The sequence below is a fragment of the Homo sapiens genome, chromosome 3 (assembly GCF_000001405.40).
Source record: "Homo sapiens chromosome 3, GRCh38.p14 Primary Assembly".
NCBI classification, from domain to species: Eukaryota; Metazoa; Chordata; class Mammalia; order Primates; family Hominidae; genus Homo; species Homo sapiens.
The window spans coordinates 176,008,513-176,033,009 of NC_000003.12; the positions used below are offsets into that span (position 1 = coordinate 176,008,513).

At 34.3% G+C, this 24,497-nt stretch overlaps 2 annotated features.

Moving 5' to 3' along the window:
- Window positions 7,297–7,892: an enhancer, noted in NCBI's record as "NANOG-H3K27ac-H3K4me1 hESC enhancer chr3:175733597-175734192 (GRCh37/hg19 assembly coordinates)". NCBI's record gives its function as "activates a minimal SCP1, AML or CMV promoter by ChIP-STARR-seq in primed H9 embryonic stem cells {active_cell/tissue: H9 hESC(primed)}" and the evidence as "EXISTENCE:reporter gene assay evidence [ECO:0000049][PMID:30033119]".
- Window positions 7,893–8,488: an enhancer, noted in NCBI's record as "NANOG-H3K27ac-H3K4me1 hESC enhancer chr3:175734193-175734788 (GRCh37/hg19 assembly coordinates)". NCBI's record gives its function as "activates a minimal SCP1, AML or CMV promoter by ChIP-STARR-seq in primed H9 embryonic stem cells {active_cell/tissue: H9 hESC(primed)}" and the evidence as "EXISTENCE:reporter gene assay evidence [ECO:0000049][PMID:30033119]".

Sequence of the window (24,497 nt, forward strand, 5' to 3'; positions counted from 1 at the left end):
CTGGCAGTACAGCGAGCATTTGGACAAGTTTCCTATTAGTTTCCTGACAGGTCTAACATTTATTTAACACAAGGTCCAGAGGGACAAGCAATTTGTTTAACATCAGAAATGAAGTGACAAGTAGAGGTTTCTAGTCGTCTTCCAATATGGGCAGTTGTTCTTTCTTGAAGAAAAATTTATATAAGACAACTTATATATTTATTACCAATCTCCTTCTATGTTCTATTTCAAATGGCCATGGAGATTTTGAAGAAGGTAGAACTGTGTTTTCTGGCTTATGATGAAATTTGATATATCATCAATTTTCAAATCATTAGTAATTCAATCTTAACTGCTGAACTTCAACTAGGAGTCATGTACTCACGTATATAAAGAGTAAAATGTACATCTTATAAAACAATCTATATTTAGTAGCTGTGAGAATATTTAAGTCATTCAAATATATTAATTTGTCACAAAATTAGCATTAACAATTATGACTTTAAGCGAGTTTTTCTTTCTTTGAATAATGAAATACAAAATTGTTGAAAATAAGTTCTCAATGACTTCCATTTAGTTTTGAAGTCTGTAAACATGCTGTGAAAGAGAAACAAGCTTTGGCATTTCTCTTCAAAGTATTCTTCGAATTATAGATAACTATGTATAAATATTGCCCTAGTAAACTAAGCAGGTAATAAATGTTCTTTCCATGGCTCAGGACCTCCTGACCATAATCAAATTGAATGAGTGAAAGATCTATATCCCACATCAGATTTTAAATCATCTAGCTCTCATAAAATGTCTGAGATATGATTATAAAATGAATTAACCATAATCCTTACTGTGGTGTCAGTTGCACATATTTAATTTTGCACGTTTTTAAAGGCTAATAAATCAGTGAACAGAAATATATGCCAAAAGCCATGACAATTTTTACTCTCAGTTAGATGAGGTGTGTTTCCTGTTACTTTAATAAATACTTATTCAGCCAAAGTTTCTGCCAGTGAAAGACTAAAGTTCTGCCAAGACCTTAAACAGAATAATAACATTTAAGTATTTAAAATTATTTTACTTCTCAGTAGATGTTCATTATATATTAGTTAAATGAATGAATAAAAAAGCATGAACACTGAGATAAGATACTTGTATATATTCATAAAACAAAGTCCTGTGATTTTCAATCTTATTAGCTGTGTGACCGGGCATGCTACTTTTTTGTTCATATTTTCTCATCTATAAAATTAGAATATTAAATATAATACATACTGCATCAGAGTGTTGTGATAATTAAATAGAATAATGAATGTAAAGTGTTTAAAATAGTCCTGGCACATAGAAAATCCTCCACAAACAGTAACTGCTGCTGTTGTTACTGCTACTGTCATTGCTGCTAATTGTCATCCTTTCTTCTTTCGATGTCTCAAAGTGTGGAGGAATGGTAAAAGAGCCTATAAAAATAGATATATGTTTGGTTAAGGGCCTCTCTTTGCTTTTTTACATTAAAATATAGAACATTTCATTCTGCTATCCATTTATACATACACATTTTTATGCACAAAAACATAGGAATCCAAACGACTTACTAGACCTAGATGAGACTTTGTAAAAATAGCATCAGTTAACACTAGTCAAGTGTTTTCTCTATAGGCAATATAGCCTGATGACTCAAGCTGTGCTCCTAAGGCAGTGCTTCCCAAAGGCAATATCTTAAAACACTACTTTTTAAGAATGTCTCACAAATGCTCCAAAATAAATACAAACAAATAAAACCCCAAAAAGTTTCAATGTCAAATAAATTTAGAAAACTGCACATACAAAAATATTCTTGAGAATCCTGTATTGTAGTGAGTATCATTATATTTCAAGTTATCCAGAATTCCCTTTCTTTGGCAAATAGCACCTTGATCTCTTTCCGGTAGTTACTTATCCACTATATGTGTAGTACTGGCGGAACTGCATATAAGAGGTGCCCTTCATACATAGAAGCAGACATAGGTAACTAAAGCAGTCCAATTGAAGTCTATCTCCTCTGGGTTTGAATTAACCAGAGTGACCCAAGGGCTGAAATAATCAACCAAAGGCATTTGGTGCTCATGCATTTCATGGTGGTTTCCCGAAAGAATTTTTTAAAAATTCTTACTATTCAGACCCTGGCTTCTGTGTTTTCCAAGCTATTCTCTATTTTTCTTGTCAATTCTGTGAGATACTAGATATACTTAAATTATATTCCTCCTTTGCTTAATTTAGGCTGGGTCTTTCCTTTGGTTGCAATCAAGGATAATCTAACCGATAAAGAGAAAAATAAACCAAAAAAAAAACAAATATATCTACAACCCAAAAACCAGTCAAGAAAGAACTACATATATTCTATATATTTCATATTTCTATTTATATCTACCTATAAAATTTTGGTTTTGTTTATGTTTTAGCCACTATTGCTTAACCTGATTTGATCCAAAATTATGCTTTCCTGCTTCACCCTTTTGTCCCCTGAACATTTATTATCTGCAGTTAATATACTTTGAGCAAAGTGTTATGATGTGTTAATTGCAGCCATGAAGAATAAGTTAAATTTGGACATTCGAGTCATTTCATAGCGCAATACTGCTTCTCTTACATTTATTTTCTCCACTTGTGCATATCATCCCCATTGCATCTAAATGATTGAATCGCATCTCTCAAGTATTGCAAACTCCACACCTACACAAGAAAACTCATTTTAAAATGTGTCATTTGGGATTTTGCGTAGGGATATAAAGAAGTGCCATTTTTCATTAAGTTTAAAAAGGAGATGGAAGCTTACCTCGGTTACTAGATTTCCCCCTGCTTTCCTCTCTATTGGCTGAAGACAATTAATCAATAAGCAAGGACAGGGGTGAAAACATATGGTCTTTGATATTTAATAAATGAATTAGTGGAGTCCCTTGTTTAAGCATATAAATTAATAAGCATTAGGTCCTTTACTTAATGAGGAATTTCCCTTTTAAAACCTGAATGAATTATCGAAAAGACCATGGCGTAAATTCAAAGGCATTTTCTGACCTTCTTGTATTCTGGCTGGCATGAATTTTTAACAAGATGCTGTATATCTGGAAGGTCTACTAGAAATTGTTCATATGAAAACTGCACTTCAAAAAAAAGCCAAACTAGTGAAGCAAAGAAAGTACTTCAGAGAGCAAGAGAATATTTAACTTGTGGGAGATTAATGTTTTGAATTACATTTTGCTCTAAAATGTTAACATAGGATGATAAAGACTTTTATCTTTATTGATTTTTTTCACATATTATTTAAAATTTTTCTACACTGTAGGATATAATGAAAATATAACTGCTAGTGTATCTTTTAAGGGTAAAAATTATTGGTAAAAATAAGTTTCCAATGATCTTGCATTGTATAATAGTGCTTTATAAAATTTGTTATCTAAAATATGTTTTTCAAGATTTTTAAAGTCAAAAGAAAATTATTATACTAAAATGTGTTTCAAAATATCATATTTTTATATTAAAATATATTCCAATAAAATAATGTCAAAACTCTTGACACGGTCTCATAACACTTAATTTGAATGCAATACCTTGTATCTCAACAAAGATATTTCAGGCCTTTAATTAACCCTGAGAGAAAAGTGGCTAACAGACAGCTAGCTTTTCTCTATAATCTGAGAACCTTGATTAAGAAAGCAGAATTAGAATCTGTAAAGCAGCTGTGCCTGAGGACTATTTACTCGCACAGTTCCTCAGAAGTCTTTTAGTAGCCAGGTGTATAAATTTTCACCAGTTCCCTCCAAAAGAGAAAAATACAAGCAATACAGCAAATAGCCCAAGAATCTAAGTTTATTCAATATAAAGATCATCCTTTTTTCCAGTATCTTTTCATACTGTTTTTCAGTTAAATAATGGTGATAATTGATGTTGATAGTTTATTTTCTAATGTCCTTACTTAGCAAGTATAAAAGTTGGCATCTCCAAAATTTTTTAACTCATTGGCAAAACCAGGGGTTTAAAATTTTTATCCTGTAAGATTCAGAAGATTTAACATTGTAGAATTTTAACTAAAAGTTTAACTAAGTATAGCTGATATTAAATAAAATTTAAAAATATTTAAAATTAAATATTCTTATTTCTGGGTTCTCTATCATTGCAGCACTGTTCACAACAGAAAAGACATGCAGTTCACCTAAATGCCCATCAGTGATAGACTGGATCAAGAAAAAGTGGTACATATACACCATGGAATACTATGCTGCCATAAAAAGGAATGAGATCATGTGCTTGGCAGGGACATGGATGGAACTGGAGGCTATTATCCTTAGCAAACTAACACAGAAACATAAAAACAAATACCACATGTTCTCACTTATAAGTGGGAGCTAAATGATAACATTTGGACACATAGCAGGGAACAACACTGGGGCCTTTCAGTGGATAGAATGTGGGAGGAGGGAGAGGATCAGGAAAAATAACTATTGGGTACTAGGCTTAATACCTGGGTGATGAAATAATCTGTACAACAAACCTCCACAACACAAGTTTACCTATATAATAAACCTGCATCTGTACCCCTCAACTTAAAATAAAAGTTAAATAAATAAAATTAAATATTAAAACATTTCTTTCAAGCTCTAGACAGAAATAAATGGTAATGATTTTAGAAAAATACAGTCTACTAATATGAAAGATTTCTAATAAATCAATTTTTCAATGGCCTATTTTACTGATTTTCAACAAGGAAACATATCAGATTAATCTTTGATCCTACCTCATTCATCTCTGAGCATCGTGTGTAATAATAAATTTGCCTATTTTTTCTCCCCAATAAATACAAATTATTTGGAAGGAACTTTAAAAATCTCTACCAAAGAATTGCACTGCTATACTTATATGCATACTTAAAGTGGTTAAAAAAATAAGGTCAATGTTATTGAATGAATCAATATCATTCAATCCTCATAGAAGCAATTAGGATAATCTTTCCCAATATCAGGTATTGCAAAATTCTGCTTGGGTCTCCAGTGCACTACTGGGAGTGGGTGATAAAATGGCAAGTAGACGAACATGATGGTTCACTGAAGAAATGCTAACAGGTTAAAGAATTACCTGAGTAATGCTTCTTACACTTAGGAATAAAAGCAGATCTTTGGGATATAACTTCTTAAGGACTCCCACATTTAACATTGATCATTTTATATTAACTTTATTTGAATATATGTAAACCTAAAACTAATTATAAACTCATTCTTAGAGTTTTAAAGAATTTTAAAATCAAAATAAAATTATAAAATAAAATATCTAATATTCAAAATCGAAATACAATTACTATTAGCCTACTATTGCAGATGATATTGTTTTGATGAAACCAAACAGCTGATTACACTGCAATGTGGTGCTGACTACTGTGGACTAGGTTCTTTCACCATTGCAGGATTTAACTGTATATCATTAGGCAAAACTTAATTTCCCATTCCACAACATTGATTGAACTAGTGAAAATTTGTATGAGTAGTAAATTAGTTGTAATCTCCTTTTCTCTCTTTTGGGGAATGAAGGTATCTTCTACTTGTTAAGTCAATCTCAGTTCTTTTTCTATTTGCCCTCCACAGTTGCAGAAGAGCTGCATTTGGTTTGAGCAGGATCTTAAACCTGAATCCAAAGTATGAGAGAAATCCTGTGCAGAACATTGCTTTTTGTTTCCATGATTATGAAGACACTTCCCTTTTAAACCTGAATATATTATGTTAACATAAAAATAAAAGAAAATAATTAAAGAACTCATAGTGCCACAAAAAAATTCAGTGTATCTACCTTGAAAATACATTTGTATGGTTTCTTACATTATGAATTCTGCTTTAAATATAAGTGTCTTTGAACTGAAATTTTCTTACAGACCTAAAGAAAAGTGGGGAACTATGACAAAAAATTTCAGAAGTCACAAAATGACAGCAATGGCTGGGGCTTTGCAGTACCACCTAAGAAAGGTCAATAAAAACAAGAGAGAATAACAGAGAACACTTAAATTGTTTAGAACCTTGGTATTATAATCTATATTTCTCTATATTCAAAAACACACACATATGCAAATAGACACATACATATTCATACTTATACATACATATACAGATATAAATAATATACATGCATATTAAATATAAATAATATGCATGCATATATTTAATTCTTTTAACTCTTATGCTTGCCTGTCATGAATGGTCTAAGTGCTTAACACAAAAAAGAGACCTAGGAACTTATTTTGAAGAGGAGCCAAATAACTGGCAACTGAAGAGACAGTACATATCTGTGACCAGTTTTGGAGGAAAAAATATATTATGTGGTGACAATTGTGAATATGAAAAGTAAAACAACAAAAATGAAAATAAAACGTGCAAGCAAACAAAAACTAACAGCTGAAACCACTGTTGGGGATACAGATACAAGGCATGAAGAGTGAAAAATAAAGACCCTTTTTTCTGTTCCTCCTAATTCCAATTAGCTCACTAAATGCAACGAGTGTGAATAACTTGGTGATTCTTTCTAGTGATGTTGGCATTCATTTACATGGGAGATAATTTCTCACATTATTTTTGTTTTTCAAAAATTTTCAACTTTTTCTTTTTTTTTAATTATACTTTAACTTTTAGGGTACATGTGCACAACATGCAGGATAGTTACATATGTATACATGTGCCATGTTGGTGTGCTGCACCCAGTAATTTGTCATTTAACATCACCTATATCTCCAAATGCTATCCCTCCCCCCTCTCCCCACCCCACAACAGGCCTCGGTGTGTGATGTTCCCCTTCCTGTGTCCATGTGTTCTCATTGTTCAATTCCCACCTATGAGAACATGCGTTGTTTGGTTTCTTGTCCTTGCGATAGTTTGCTGAGAATGATGGTTTCCAGCTTCATCCATGTCCCTACAAAGGACATGAACTCATCATTTTTTATGGCTGCATAGTATTCCATGGTGTATATGTGCCACATTTTCTTTATCCAGTCTATCATTGTTGGACATTTGGGTTGGTTCCAAGTGTTTGCTATTGTGAATAATGCCGCAATAAACATATGTGTGCATGTGTCTTTATAGCAGCATGATTAATAATGCTTCGGGTATGTACCCAGTAATGGGATGGCTGGGTCAAATGGTATTTCTAGTTCTAGATCCCTGAGGAATCGCCACACTGACTTCCACAATGGTTGAACTAGTTTACAGTCCCACCAACAGTGTAAAAGTGTTCCTATTTCTCCACATCCTCTCCAGCACCTGTTGTTTCCTGACTTTTTAATGATTGTCATTCTAACTGGTGTGAGATGGTATCTTGTTGTGGTTTTCATTTGCATTTCTCTGATGGCCAGTGATGATGAGCATTTTTTCATGTGTCTTTTGGCTGCATAAATGTCTTCTTTTGAGAAGTGTCTGTTCATATCCTTTGCCCACTTTTTGATGGGGTTGTTTTTTTCTTGCAAATTTGTTGGAGTTCATTTGTTGGATATTAGCCCTTTGTCAGATGAGTAGATTGCAAAAAAAATTTTCAACTTTTCATACATTCTCTTTCATACATTCTCTTACTTCATAATATAAGAATACTTTCTTCTTCAGTATTTTTTTATTAAGAGAATGTATGAAAAGTTTTTAAGGAGGAGCCAAGATGGCTGAATAGGAACAGCTCCGGTCTACAGCTCCCAGAGTGAGCGACACAGAAGAAGGGGGATTTCTGCATTTCCATCTGAGGTACCGGGTTCATCTCACTAGGGAGTGCCAGACAGTGGACGCAGGTCAGTGGGTGCAGCGCACCATGCGCGAGCCAAAGCAGGGCGAGGCATTGCCTCACTAGGGAAGCGCAGGGGGTCAGGGAGTTCCCTTTCCTAGTCAAAGAAAGGGGTGACAGATGGCACCTGGAAGATCGGGTCACTCCCACCCGAATACCGCTCTTTTCCGATGGGCTTAAAACACGGCGCACCAGGATATTGTGTCCCGCATCTGGCTCGGAGGGTCCTACGCCCACAGAGTCTCGCTGATTGCTAGCACAGCAGTCTGAGATCAAACTGCAAGGCGGCAGCGAGGCTGGGGGAGGGGCGCCAGCCATTGCCCAGGCTTGCTTAGGTAAACAAAGCAGCCGGGAAGCTCCAACTGGGTGGAGCCCACCACAGCTCAAGGAGGCCTGCCTGCCTCTGTAGGCTCCACCTCTGGGGGCAGGGCACAGACAAACAAAAAGACAGCAGTAACCTCTGCAGACTTAAGTGTCCCTGTCTGACAGCTTTGAAGAGAGCAGTGGTTCTCCCAGCACGCAGCTGGAGATCTGAGAACAGGCAGACTGCCTCCTCAAGTGGGTCCCTGACCCCTGACCCCCGAGCAGCCTAACTGGGAGGCACCCCCCAGCAGGGGCAAACTGACACCTCACACGGCTGGGTACTCCAACAGACCTGCAGCTGAGGGTCCTGTCTGTTAGAAGGAAAACTAACAAACAGAAAGGACATCCACACCAAAAACCCATCTGTACATCACCATCATCAAAGACCAAAAGTAGATAAAACCACAAAGATGGGGAAAAAAACAGAGCAGAAAAACTGGAAACTCTAAAAAGCAGAGTGCCTCTCCTCCTCCAAAGGAATGCAGTTCCTCACCAGCAACGGAACAAAGCTGGACGGAGAATGACTTTGACGAGCTGAGAGAAGAAGGCTTCAGAGGATCAAATTACTCCGAGCTACAGGAGGACATTCAAACCAAAGGCAAAGAAGTTGAAAACTTTGAAAAAAATTTAGAAGAATGTATAACTAGACTAACCAATACAGAGAAGTGCTTAAAGGAGCTGATGGAGCTGAAAACCAAGGCTCGAGAACTACGTGAAGAATGCAGAAGCCTCAGGAGCCGATGCGATCAACTGGAAGAAAGGGTAACAGCGATGGAAGATGAAATGAATGAAATGAAGTGAGAAGGGAAGTTTAGAGAAAAAAGAATAAAAAGAAAAGAGCAAAGCATCCAGGAAATATGGGACTATGTGAAAAGACCAAATCTACGTCTGATTGGTGTACCTGAAAGTGACGGGGAGAATGGAACCAAGTTGGAAAACACTCTGCAGGATATTACCCAGGAGAACTTCCCCAATCTAGCAAGGCAGGCCAACATTCAGATTCAGGAAATACAGAGAACACCACAAAGATACTACTTGAGAAGAGTAACTCCAAGACACATAATTGTCAGATTCACCAAAGTTGAAATGAAGGAAAAAATGTTAAGGGCAGCCAGAGAGAAAGGTTGGGTTACCCTCAAAGGGAAGCCCATCAGACTAACAGCGGATCTCTCGGCAGAAACTCTACAAGCCAGAAGAGAGTGGGGGCCAATATTCAACATTCTTAAAGAAAAGAATTTTCAACCCAGAATTTCATATCCAGCCAAACTAAGCTTCATAAGTGAAGGAGAAATAAAATACTTTACAGACAAGCAAATGCTGAGAGATTTTGTCACCACCAGGCCTGGCTAAAAGAGCTCCTGAAGGAAGTGCTAAACATGGAAAGGAACAACCGGTACCAGCCGCTGCAAAATCATGCCAAAATGTAAAGACCATCAAGACTAGGAAGAAACTGCATCAACTAACGAGCAAAATCACCAGCTAACATCATAATGACAGGATCAAATTCACACATAACAATATTAACTTTAAATGTAAATGGACTAAATGCTCCAATTAAAAGACACAGACTGGCAAATTGGATAAAGAGTCAACACCCATCAGGGTGCTGTATTCAGGAAACCCATCTCACGTGCAGAGACACACATAGGCTCAAAATAAAGGGATGGAGGAAGATCTACCAAGTAAATGGAAAACAAAAAAAGGCAGGGGTTGCAATCCTAGTCTCTGATAAAACAGACTTTAAACCAACAAAGATCAAAAGAGACAAAGAAGGCCATTACATAATGGTAAAGGGATCAATTCAACAAGAAGAGCTAACTATCCTAAATATATATGCACCCAATACAGGAGCACCCAGATTCATAAAGCAAGTCCTTAGTGACTTATAAAGTGACTTAGACTCCCACACAATAATAATGGGAGACTTTAACACCCCACTGTCAACATTAGACAGATCAACGAGACAGAAAGTTAACAAGGATATCCAGGAATTGAACTCAGGTCTGCACCAAGCAGACCTAATAGACATCTACAGAACTCTCTACCCCACATCAACAGAATATACATTTTTTTCAGCACCACACAACACCTATTCCAAAATTGACCACATACTTGGAAGTAAAGCTCTCCTCAGCAAATGTAAAAGAACAGAAATTATAACAAACTATCTCTCAGACCACATTACAATCAAACTAGAACTCAGGATTAAGAATCTCACTCAAAACTGCTCAACTACATGGAAACTGAACAACCTGCTCCTGAATGACTACTGGGTACGTAAAGAAATGAGGGCAGAAATGAAGATGTTCTTTGAAACCAATGAGAACAAAGACACAACGTACCAGAATCTCTGGGATGCATTCAAAGCAGTGTGTAGAGGGAAATTTATAGCACTACATGCCCACAAGAGAAAGCAGGAAAGATCCAAAATTGACATTCTAACATCACAATTAAAAGAACTAGAAAAGCAAGAGCAAACACATTCAAAAGCTAGCAGAAGGCAAGAAATAACTAAAATCAGAGCAGAACTGAAGGAAATAGAGACACAAAAAACCCTTCAAAAAATTAATGAATCCAGGAGCTGGTTTTTTGAAAGGATCAACAAAATAGATAGACCACTAGCAAGACTAATAAAGAAAAAAAGAGAGAAGAATCAAATAGATGCAATAAAAAATGATAAAGGGGAAATCATCACCGATCCCACAGAAATACAAACTACCATCAGAGAATACTACAAACATCTCTACGCAAATAAACTAGAAAATCTAGAAGAAATGGATAAATTCATTGACACATACAAACTCCCAAGACTAAACCAGGAAGAAGTTGAATCTCTGAATAGACCAATAACAGGATCTGAAATTGTGGCAATAATTAATAGCTTACCAACCAAAAAGAGTCCAGGACCAAATGGATTCACAGCCGAATTCTACCAGAGGTACAAGGAGAAACTGCTACCATTCCTTCTGAAACTATTCCAATCAATAGAAAAAGAGAGAATCCTCCCTAACTCATTTTATGAGGCCAGCATCATCCTGATACCAAAGCCAGGCAGAGACACAACCAAAAAAGAGAATTTTAGACCAATATCCTTGATGAACATTGATGCAAAAATCCTCAATAAAATACTGGCAAACTGAATCCAGCAGCACATCAAAAAGCTTATCCACCATGATCAAGCAGCTTCATCCCTGGGATGCAAGGCTGGTTCAATATACGCAAATCAATAAATGTAATCCAGCATATAAACAGAGCCAAAGACAAAAACCACATGATTATCTCAATAGATGCAGAAAAGGCCTTTGACAAAAATCAACACCGCTTCATGCTAAAAATTCTCAATAAATTAGGTATTGATGGGACATATTTCAAAATAATAAGAGCTATCTATGACAAACCCACAGCCAATATCATACTGAATGGGCAAAAACTGGAAGCATTCCCTTTGAAAACTGGCACAAGACAGGGATGCCCTCTCTCACCACTCCTATTCAACATAGTGTTGGAAGTTCTGGCCAGGGCAATTAGGCATGAGAAGGAAATAAAGGGTATTCAATTAGGAAAAGAGGAAGTCAAATTGTCCCTGTTTGCAGATGACATGATTGTATATCTAGAAAACCCCATTGTCTCAGCCCAAAATCTCCTTAAGCTGATAAGCAACTTCAGCAAAGTCTCAGGATACAAAATCAGTGTACAAAAATCACAAGCATTCTTATACACCAATAACAGACAAACAGAGAGCCAAATCATGGGTGAACTCCCATTCACAATTGCTTCAAAGAGAATAAAATACCTAGGAATCCAACTTACAAGGGATGGGAAGGACCTCTTCAAGGAGAACTACAAACCACTGCTCAAGGAAATAAAAGAGGATACAAACAAATGGAAGAATATTCCATGCTCATGGGTAGGAAGAATCAATATCGTGAAAATGGCCATACTGCCCAAGGTAATTTACAGATTCAATGCCATCCCCATCAAACTACCAATGACTTTCTTCACAGAATTGGAAAAAACTACTTTAAAGTTCATATGGAACCAAAAAAGAGCCTGCATTGCCAAGTCAATCCTAAGCCAAAAGAACAAAGCTGGAGGCATCACGCTACCTGACTTCAAACTATACTACAAGGCTACAGTAACCAAAACAGCATGGTACTGGTACCAAAACAGAGATATAGATCAATGGAACAGAACAGAGCCCTCAGAAATAATACCACACATCTATAACCATCTCATCTTTGACAAACCTGAGAAAAACAAGCAATGGGGAAAGGATTCCCTATTTAATAAATGGTGCTGGGAAAACTGGCTAGCCATATGTAGAAAGCTGAAACTGGATCCCTTCCTTACACCTTATACAAAAATCAATTCAAGATGGATTAAAGACTTAAACGTTAGACCTAAAACCATAAAAACCCTAGAAGAAAACCTAGGCATTACCATTCAGGACATAGGCATGGGCAAGGACTTCCTGTCTAAAACACCAAAAGCAATGGCAACAAAAGCCAAAATTGACAAATGGGATCTAATTAAACTAAAGAGCTTCTGCACAGCAAAAGAAACTACCATCAGAGTGAACAGGCAACCTACAAAATGGGAGAAAATTTTCACAACCTACTCATCTGACATAGGGCTAATATCCAGAATCTACAATGAACTCAAACAAATTTACAAGGGAAAAACAAACAACCCCATCAAAAAGTGGGCAAAGGACATGAACAGACACTTCTCAAAAGAAGACATTTATGCAGCCAAAAAACACATGAAAAAATGCTCACCATCACTGGCCATCAAAGAAACGCAAATTAGAACCACAATGAGATACCATCTCACACCAGTTAGAATGGCAATCATTAAAAAGTCAGGAAACAACCGGTGCTGGAGAGGATGTGGAGAAATAGGAACACTTTTACACTGTTGGTGGGACTGTAAACTAGTTCAACCATTGTGGAAGTCAGTGTGGCGATTCCTCAGGGATCTAGAACTAGAAATACCATTTGACCCAGCCATCCCATTACTGGGTATATACCCAAAGGACTATAAATCATGCTGCTATAAAGACACATGCACACGTATGTTTATTGCGGCATCATTCACAATAGCAAAGACTTGGAACCAACCCAAATGTCCAACGATAGACTGGATAAAGAAAATGTGGCGTCTCAAAAAAAAAAAAAAAAAAAGAAAATGTGGCACATATACACCATGGAATACTATGTAGCCATAAAAAACGATGAGTTCATGTCCTTTGTAGGGACATGGATGAAATTGGAAATCATCATTCTCAGTAAACTATCGCAAGAACAAAAAACCAAACACCGCATATTCTCACTCATAGGTGGGAATTGAACATGAAAACACATGGACACAGGAAGGGGAACATCACACTCTGGGGACTGTTGTGGTTTGGGGGGAGGGGGGAGGGATAGTATTGGGAGATATACCTAATGCTAGATGACGAGTTAGTGGGTGCAGCGCACCAGCATGTCATATATATACATATGTAACTAACCTGCACATTGTGCACATGTACCCTAAAACTTAAAGTATAATAATAAATAAAAAATAAAAATTAAAAAAAAAGGTTTTAATATCTTTTTACATAGTACTTTTTTATTAAGTAGTCCAGAAGTAGTACTTATGGACCTAACCTAATTCAGTTAATCTATTTGCTTTATTATGGACCATTATTGTAATATTTTAATACTTTAATGAAGAGTAAAAAATGAAGACTCCTTTTTTCTGTTCCTCCCAATTCCAATTAGACTACTAAATGCAACCAGTGTAATTCTGTGATTCTAGTAATGTTAGTATTCATTTACATGTGAGATAATTTCTCACATTATTTTTGTTTTTCAAAAATTTTCAACCTTTTATACATTCTCTTACTGACAATTCTTAGAAATAGCTAAATGTTTGGATTATTTCTGGCCATAATAGAGAATTTTAACATACTTGGTCTTAACCTCCAGGTGACTCTCTACTTTTTCAGACTTTCTTTTTAATTAAAACTTTTTGGCTTTTTATTTTTTCATTATTAGTTTTTGATGCTTCTTATAGGTTTCAGTTATACTTGATAAAATACTATGAAACATTTTCCGACCTTGCCATGTGTCACTGAATATCATGCTATCATAAAACCTATTAATTATTTCATAGTTAAGTTGTCAAATTTTCCTTTTGTATTTTAGGTTTGATATCATTGTTGGAAAACTGTCCTATCCTCAATATTGTAAAAATTGTCTAATTTGAAAATTTAATCACTTTATATGATTTAATTATGTTTACATATTTTATTGATTTAGAATTCACTTTGTACAAAATCTGAGAGGCAGGGATATAATTTTATTTTATTTTCAACATTGCTCTTTTTCTCCAATTGTTCCTAAAGCAATTTAGTAAATAGTGTATTCTTTCACTTTTGATATTAAAATCTACCTTAATAATTTATCAATTTCTGTATTTACTTGGTGCTACTTCTGGACCTAATTAATTCAATTAATCTATTTGCTTTATTGTGGGCCATTATTGTAATATTTTAATATATATAGGTTTTAAATGCAATTTTATATCTAACAAAGCAATGTCTTCTTCAGTATTCTTTTTTATTAATGTCTCAACAATTTTTGCATATGTAGATGTACTAAGAAACCAAGAATCAGATGACTTTGAGTAGACTTGACTGCTTTCTGGAATTTTATAAATAATAAAATCATAAAGCATGTATGGTTTTGCGACTGAAATTTTTTATTCGGCATATTTTTGATATGCATGCATATATAACTGTATGTATCCATAGCTTATTCTTTTTATTGCTGAGAAATATTCTACTGAGTGAATATATTACATTTTTGTACCACTTACCCTTGATGGACAATTGGGTTATATCCAGCTTTTTTGGTTCTTATGGATAAAGCTTCTATAAATATTTATGTATAAGTCTTTATGGGGACATATTTTTAATTTGTTTCTCTTGGGGAAGAATCTAGAGGTGAAATGGGTGGACTGTATGTTTTGGGTGTGTTTAACTTTATATTTCAAGGGGTTTACCAGAGTGACTGTATGATTTTACATTCCCAGCAGTGTGCATGAGAGTCCTAGTGGATGTACATCTTCACCAACACTAGGTGTTGTCAGTTTTTAAAAATGTAGTTACTTTAGTGGGTATGTAGGCATATTTATTATGGTTCAAATTTGCATTGTCTGCTGGCTAATGGTTACGAGAATATTAAAATCTTAAAAGTGCATATCTGCCATCCATATATCTTGCCTTGTAAAGTATTTGTTTATCTATTTACTTTTAAATTTTGTTATTTGTGTTATTATTGAGTTGTAGGAATTCTTTATATATTCTGGATACAAGTATTTGACAGGTATTCATATTCCAATTATTTTTCCCATTCCTTGGTTGCTCTTTTATTTTGTTCACAAATTCTTTCCAAGAGCAAATATTCTTAATTTTGATAAGGTTCAATTCACAAATTATGGATATATGTGTGTTCTGTGTGTATTTTATTTAAGAAATATTTGCCTACACCAAGGTTACAAAGATTTTCTTCTCTGATTCCTTCCAGAAATATTGCTTTAGCTTTTCAAATTAAGTAATTATTCCATCTCAAGTTCATTTTCACTTATGATGTGAGGTAAGGGTAAAACTATATTTTCATATAAATATGAAGATAGTTTTTCCAGCACCAAATATATGAGCCTATTTCTGGACTGACAGTTCTGTTCTATTGATCTATATATCTAACCTTTTGCACTACCACACTGTTGATTACAACTACTATAGATGAGTCACTAAGTCAGTTCAAATCCTCCAACTTTGTTCTTTTAAAATATAATTTTGGCTATTCTAAATTATTTACATGTTCAGTTTTGGGAGATTAATGTCTTAATTTTGAATCTTTCAAACAATGAGCATAATATATCTCTCCATTCATCTGGTCTTCTTTAATTTTCATGTGCAATTTGTTTTTGTTTTTGTTTTTTTTTTTAGTTTCCAGCATCCAAGTATTACAGATATTTTGTTATATTTCCATTCTCCATTTGATTCTCATTTTATACTTTCTATTTCTTTGCTGAAAATTTCAATCTTCCCTTTAATTTTAACAGTGTTTATTTTACCTTATGGAACATAGTTAATAATAGTTGTTTTAAAATTTTTGTTTGATAATTCCAAATTCTGGGACATTTTAGAATTGAAACCTGTTGCTAATCTTTTCTCTTAAGAATTTCCCTGGCTCTTTATCTGTTGGTTGACTTTGAATTGTGTCTCAGATATTTTTAATACAGTTGTCCCTCCATATCCACTGGTTCTGCATCTGTAAATTCAACCACCTGAACATATCAGAAAAAAAGAAAACAACACAACAGTAAACATAATACAAATAAAAAATACAGTATAAACTATTCACATAGCATTAACATTATATTAGGTATTATAAGTAATCTATAGATGATTTAAAGCCTATGGAAAGATGCAAGAGTGTTATATGCAAATACTACTATGCCATTTTATATAGGGAACTTGAGCATCTGCAGATTTTAGCATCTGTGGGTGTCCTTGAACTAATCCCCTGTGGATACCAAGGGATGACAGTATGTTCCACAGACTTTTAGTTTTGTTAAAATGTTCTAAACAATGGTGAGTCTTTTGTTTAAGCAGATCATCTACCTGGTTATGTATAGACTGAGAATTCTGTCTCACCTTTTTGGGCAGTGGTTCTAATGTCAAAGTAGCTATACTCCTTTGGTCTGTCTCATAAATGCACAGGCCAGGAGTAAGCCAAGACTTATGTTTATTCATTTACCGAATTAAAGGATTCTCTTTGCCCACACTTTCTGACGCCCAGAGAATGCTTTTCCTGGTGTTCTGTCTAGAAATAGAGATATCTTTCCATTTCAGCAAACTGCACTTCAACACAATATCATGTGACTGAGGAGATCCTCTAAATAGCACCAAGATAATAATGAAAGAAAAAATATATACTGGGAGTTTCACACATAGAGATCACAGGGCTTTATTTTTTCTATTATTCTGGCCAGAAAGATGTTTTTCTCTCTGGGTTTTAACTGTCTACGCTGCCACCTCTGCAGCACAGCCCAGTGATCAGGACCACCCTTGGCAGGGTCAGGAGAGAAAAAAAGAGAAAAAAATAAAAAGTACATAAATAGGAATCCCACCTCATATTAGCCTAGTAGGGCTGCCATAACAAAACCCCAAAGACTGGGTGACTTAAACAACAGAAATTTATTTTCTCACAGTTCTGGAGGCTGGAAGTCCAAGATCAAGATGCCAATATGGTTGCTTTGTGGTAAGAGCTCATTTTCTGGTTTGCAGAAAGCTGCCTTCACACTGTCTCTTCTCCGTGGAGAGAGAGAGAGAGAGAGAGAGAGAGAGAGAGAGAGAGAGAGAGAGAGAGAGAGAGAGAGAGAGAGAGACCTGGTGTTTCTTCCTCCTCTTATTAAGACACCAGCCCTATCAGATGACAGCCCACCCTTATGACCTAATTTAATCTTAATTAACTCTTAAAGGCTCTGTCTGTAAATACAGTCACATTGGGGGTTAGGGTTTCAATACAAATTTTGGTGGGGGTGCTGGGGTGAGGGAAGAGATACAATTTATTCTATTACACGCTAGCTCTCTTTAGCTGGCAGGGCCTTTCCCCCAATCTTTTGACCATAAATGCCAAAGCTTTCCGTCCTCTGCTGCCTGCATGTTCCTACATGGGAACTACTCTGAGATTATAGCCAGGAAATTAGCAAAACAAAACAAAAAAGTGAGATACTAATCCTATATGAGTAGCTCTGTAATTTTTGTCTTCAGGTCCTAATTTGCTTAATATGGTTAAGTTTTAAGATTTTTTGGGGTAGCTGCTATAAATATTTTATCTCCTGCTCTTAATTGTAAATGTTAAAATGTTCTTTTACATTTAACAACGTAAAAGAGAGAGAGTATCTGCTATGCTCATTCTATGTAGGCTAGTACTGGACTATTTTTAATTAATCTAAAGTATATTTGCAAAAACTTGTACATTCTATTTTCTCATAATTTTAAAATCACAAATTCTCTATATTGCAGTTATGACGTCAATGTAATACACACACGACTGCTAATTTTTGAACATATTGAAATATTCTTTGTGACTCACTCTAATTATATATTAAACTATATAATTTTAAAAATTATGTATTTTTTTCTTCCTAAGAATAAAATTAAACATATAAAAATAGGTTTTTAAAGTTTTTGAGGCTTTGGTTTCAAATTCTGTATATCATTGCTAATTTTATTTGTTATATATTCTGTTCTGAAAGAATGGTTATAATTTTGATATTTCTATTTATCATTTTTATGATTATTTATTTGATACAGTTTTTTTAACACTCATAGAAAATACAATTTTTTGGTAAGCTTATTTTTATTTCTATGAAATATTCCATCTCATTATACACATATTTTAAAACATATAGTTCATCTGAAATAAATACTACTTTAGCATTTGTTTCAGCGTTTTGTTTCAGTGTTATCCAGATCTGTATTTTACTTTTGTTTCATGTTTTATTTTAAGTATGTCTTTTGTAAGTAACACATAGCTGGCTTTTCTTTTTTTACCTAAGCAATAATCGTTTATTCTCATTAACAATGAAGTTAATTCCTTCACATTTTTTGTGAATATTTATATTAACTTATTCATTTTATTTTTCTAGTTTTAATTGTTATTACCCTCTCTCTTTTGCCTTTTGTTGGATTGTCTAGTTTAATTTCTTTCTTTGTTGGTCTTTTTGTCCTAAATGATTTGAACTTCTGCATCCAATTTCTATACTTCTAATAGTACTCTTACTTTTAGAAGTGTGTTTATAGTTTTCAATCAAATTTAAGAATTTCTCATTGCCTATAGCTTTGCCTGAATAATAATTTAGCATCTTATCACACAGTAAATTTCAGCATCCCATCTCAATGATTGTATAATCATATGTATTTTTGCCTGTGTTTGTATACATCAATTTCATGGTTTTTTTGTTTGTTTTATATTAACCCCTTTTTAAATTTTTTTATTTTATTTATTTTTTTTCTTGATGGGGTCTTGCTCTGTCGCACAAGCTGGAATGCAGTGGTGCAATCTGGGCTCACTGCAACCTCCGCCTCCCGGGTTCAGGGTTCAGGAGATTGTCCTGCCTCAGCCCCATGAATAGCTGGGATTACAGGCGCCCAGCACCACGCCCAGTTAATTTCTGTATTTTTAGTAGAGACAGGGGTTTCACCATCTTGGCCAGGCTGTTCTTGAACTCCTGACCTCATGATCCACCCGCCTCAGCCTCCTAAAGTGCTGGGATTACAGGCATGAGCCACTGTGCCCGGCCAACCCTCTATTTTTTAAAATAATACTTACAGTGAGCTTAAGAGTTGGTTATGCAGAATATTGTAAATTTTATCTGTTTCTTTGTATATTATTGCACTCTTTATCCAATTTGCACTCTCTTAGTTTTATTTTTTATTAAATTTGAGAATGTCTTTGGGTATTATTTCAAAAAATATGCAAGAATGATGAACATTCTGAAAATCTTCATATTGGGAGATCCGTTTTTTTAAATTATTAATTAAATGATTGATTTTCTGAGTGTACGATTTTAAATTCAACAACTATGATCTCATGTAAATGTATGGGCATGAACCAGGCATGGGTGGGAAGTTTCAGATTGCTAAAATAAAGACTTCTATGAGCATGATGATTTTTTTTTATTTTTAGTTATGGGGTACATGTGCAGGATGTGCAGGTTTGTTACATAGGTAAACATGTGACATGGTGGTTTGCTGCACCTATCAACGCATCACCTAGGTGTGAAGCCCAGCATGGATTAACTATTTTTCCTAAAGCTCTCCCTTCCCCCAGCCCACCCTGTGACTGGCCCCAGTGTAGGTTGTTCCCCTCCCCGTGTACATGTGTTCTCATTGTTTAGCTCCCACTTACAAGTGAGAACATGCAGTGTTTGGTTTTCTGTTCCTGCGTTAGTTTGCTGAGGATAATTGCTTCCAGCTTCATCCATGTCCCTGCAAAAGACATAATCTTATTCCCTTTTATGGCTGCATAGTATTTCATGATGTACATGTACCATTTTCTTTAGAGTATAATGATTTTATGCAATTCATTCATAGATGAAATTGACTTATCTTTTATCTTTCTTCTTCTTTCTTTCTCCCTAACGAAAAAGTCCATATTTCTTCTTTACTGCTGAATGTTTCATGCCTTCAGAAGAATGCATGTAACCTCTATTTATGAAAATAAACTTTTGTGCATCTACCACTTGAAGAGAGTTGTATGTTTGAAGAATCCGTATTATACCTCATAGACACTTAACACTTTTTTGATAATTTGTCATTAGTTGTTTCTATTTTATTTATTTGCTTTTTGGGTTTTGTGGATGTTTTTCATTCTTGGTTTTTTGCTATTTTAAACAGTACTTGTATTAACATTCTCCTACTTGTCCTCTGCTGGACACATGAAAAACTTTGCCTCATATGTTTTTTTCACCAGTGTCTTTATAATACCCCTGAACAACAAAAGGTCATTAACTCTTCAAATTTAATTACCTCATATTAATGTACATGTTATTGTTGCCTGGCATTCTAGTTTAATCCTTTATCCATTCTAGTTTCATCCCCAAATTAGACATTTTATTATTGCTTTTTATGTTAATATTGTTAATGTTACTGAGATGGATGCTGCGTTATTTGCTTAGTATTCTTTGCATCTTAGGCCTTGGTTCTGAGACTTCATCTGCCTGAGTTTATTATGTAGAAATTCCTTTAGTTGGAATCTCTTGGTGTTGATCTCAAGTTTTCTTTGTCTGAAAGTATTTTTATTTTGCCTTTATGCTTAAAAGATAGATTCATTGGGAGTATGGTTTAGAAATTCCCTCTAATACTTTAGTATATATTTCTTCATTGTTTCTCTTGAAAAATCAGCTAGCAGTCTAAATGCAATTTTCTTATAAACAAACTGTATTTACTTTTTGGTTATTTAAGTCTAAAATTGGTGTATTTGTTTCCTTATTCCTGCTATAAAAATTACCACAAACTTTCTGGCTTAAAAAAATATAAATTATTTTCTTACATTTCTGGAAGTCAGAAATGCAAAATGGGTCTCACTGGACTAAAATCACAGTGCCAGTAGAGCTGCCTTTCTTCCTGGAGGCACTAGAAGAGGAAATGCTTTCTCACGTTTTCCAGATTCTAGTGGCTGCCCACATTTCTTGCCTCCTTTGGCTGGTCCAATCTTTCTCACCTGAGGTTACTCTGACACTGTCATTCTTCCACCTCCCTTTTCCACTGTAAGGATCCATATGATTATATTAAGCCCACCTGGAGAGTACAGGCTAGTCTCCAATATTAAGGTCAGCTAATTAGAAACCTTTATTTTACCTGCTACCTTAATTCCTCTTCACTTGTCATGAAACATATTCACATATTCCAGGAATTAGGGCAGTAGTTCATAATTTTCTGTATTATCTTCTTCTAGCACTCCAAAATAAATGTATGCTAAGATTTCTCACACCATTTTTTCTCTTAATATCTCTTTTCTACTTCCTTTTTCTGAATTATGTTTTTAAAATAACATTGTAATTTTTGAAGCAGTCTAATTTCCTTTTTAAGTTTTTATAATATTCTGTTTCATACATTTAATTACTTTTTAGAATTTTAGTGATGTTTTTAGTTGACAGTTTGCCTAGTTATATTTTAAAGCCTGTTTCTTAATCTCTTTTGATGTCTACTTTCATTCTTATTAATACTTATACATTTATATTATTTTCTGTCTCTGATAATTATAATATTTTGTGTTTGCATATCCCATTCTTTTTGTTTTTTTCTTGATCAATAATTCTTGTGTTTATTAAGTATTAATTTTTTTTAAATCATGGTCTGAAGAATTCTTTGACATCTTTTGGATGATTTATATTTCTTGGTTCTGGTTGCCTAAGGATACTAACAATCCGGGAATACTTTATTGTCAGCTAAAGAATTTCTAGAAGACTTGAATTGTTTAGATTTGGATCACAAACTTATGTGAGGGTAGATTTGTCAAAAAATTATTTCCTATTAATTCTTTCACTAAGGGCTTGCCTTCCAGAAGCCAAGTTTCTCTGTTTTTTTTAGTATCTCTATTCATATTCTCGAACTTGATTGGGGCTCATAAAACAATAGAACCAAATCTTAATATCACTAGTGATTTCCAGATGACTTAGGGGATGCTGGTAGCTTTAATCTTCCCATGCCTTTCTGAATTTTGAAATTCCTTGCCTGTATAAAGATCAAATTATGAGTGTAATATTGTAATAATTCCATTCCATTGTATTATCTGAGTTTTGGCAACTATTAGGTAGGTGTAACCCACAGACACTATGAATACTCTACTTAATCTTTAATGATTGTTTTCTTAATTTTCAAGAAAAGCATCTTGTCTATTAATAAAATGTATCAAATCACATCCTTTGAGCAGGAAAATATATCTTTCCAGGAACAACACAGCAGGCTGACTGTGCAATTAATATCTTCCTTCAATCTTATTTATAAAATGGCCATAGTTATATCTATGTTTTTCTTTGGAGTCCACTCTGAAAAAGGAAAACATGAAGAAGTGAAAAAAAAAATAGAATGAAAAAACAGAATATATGTGTCTTTGCATTTGTATAACTTTCTGTGAAGTGAGATTATAATTTTATATGGTCATATTTAAGATACTTTCATGTACACAATACATGTTAGAGAAATATACAAATAGTTTAATAAGTATTCCAAGATCAAAGGACATGAGATGAGTGCTTCAGGGGACAGAGAATAAAATGAGGGGAGAGCTAAATTTTGATTTACAAAGAGGTTGAAAAAATAAAACATAATGATCTTCAGTTGTATTTCAAAGAGTTTCTTGAAAGTCAAGGTAGATATATTAACTGTCTACTTTCTTTCTTTTTGATATTCTGCTACTGTACAAGGGCCTACCATTTGTTCAAATAAAACAATGTTGATTTCAGCATATACATACATATGCACATATGCACACATATACATATACATAAAGTATAAATATATATAAATATATATTTTTATAGAAAATATAGGTTGAAGCTTGTTTGGAAAGTACAGGAAACACATTAAAGACATCAGGGTACTCGAATATGACTTGGGATAAATTATTTTTTAAAAATCATTTTTTTTCATTTTCTCATAAAAGTTTGGAAACTTACAATATTTATATTTACATAATGTTCTACCATAATCTAGTGCAGTAGACAAGTAATTAAGCCCTACACAATTTAAGTTATCTATTACTTAAAGCAGTGAAATTTCACTGCTTCTGAAAAGACTTCAAGGTCTCCCAGTAATCATTATATAAAGTTGCAAATCAGCAAGATAGTTTAAAATGTCCTTTATGACCTGATCTTTACGGACTTCTCCAGCTTCACCTGTGGTCAATTCTCAGTATACTACAGCAAACCTGAGTTCTTTTACATAACCTTGAACATGACACACTTTCTTCTCTGAGTGCACATGCTGTTTTCTCTAATTCGCTCATAAATCTTATCTATCTATGATCTTTGAAGTCACATGCTTTAGGAAGAAATCACTGGTTTCGTAAGAATGGATTACATGCTCTTCCAGTGTGATCTCATAACCCCCTGTACTTCTCATGGCTTTGTATTTCCTGAACGTTCTCTTTTTTTGTATAGTACTCTAATAATCTGTTTCTATCTCACTCTATATTTTATTCCTGCTATTAGTAATAAGTGTTATTTGAGCTCCCACCAAGTTCCAGGCTCTGTGTTAATTGCTCAACATGGATTACTTTATTTCACAGAATGTAAGACCACCTTTATTCTGTATAGAAAACATTACCAAATGTAATCAGAAAACACCACTGATTATCCATTGCATTCTGTTTTAAAGACAGTGAAAAGTGAGAAAAAAAGGAAGCACCTTGGGATCAGTGGAAAATGTTATTGTGTATAATCTTCACAGCAACCATACAAGGAAGTTGCCAGTAAACACAATTTATGACAGAAGAAAGAAGAAATTTAAAAACCTCCCAAGATAAATGCCAAAGTTTGAATTTCAACATACTAAGTTTGATGTAAAAGATCGGTCTCTTGACAATCTTACTTTTATTGTAAAATATGCAAGAATAAGAGACAAGTTTATCATGCTTAATATTGAAGCTCTAGTGCTCAGCACAAAATAAGAGCTCGATAAATATTGCTGAATTAAATAATGAACATATTAAAAAGGTAATTTATTAATTAGGATACAGCTAAGACAAGAGACTAGGTTTTCTCAGTCAAAATCTAGTACCTGTGCCAAACACTGTGATGGTCAAAGACACTAATTTGATGTTTGC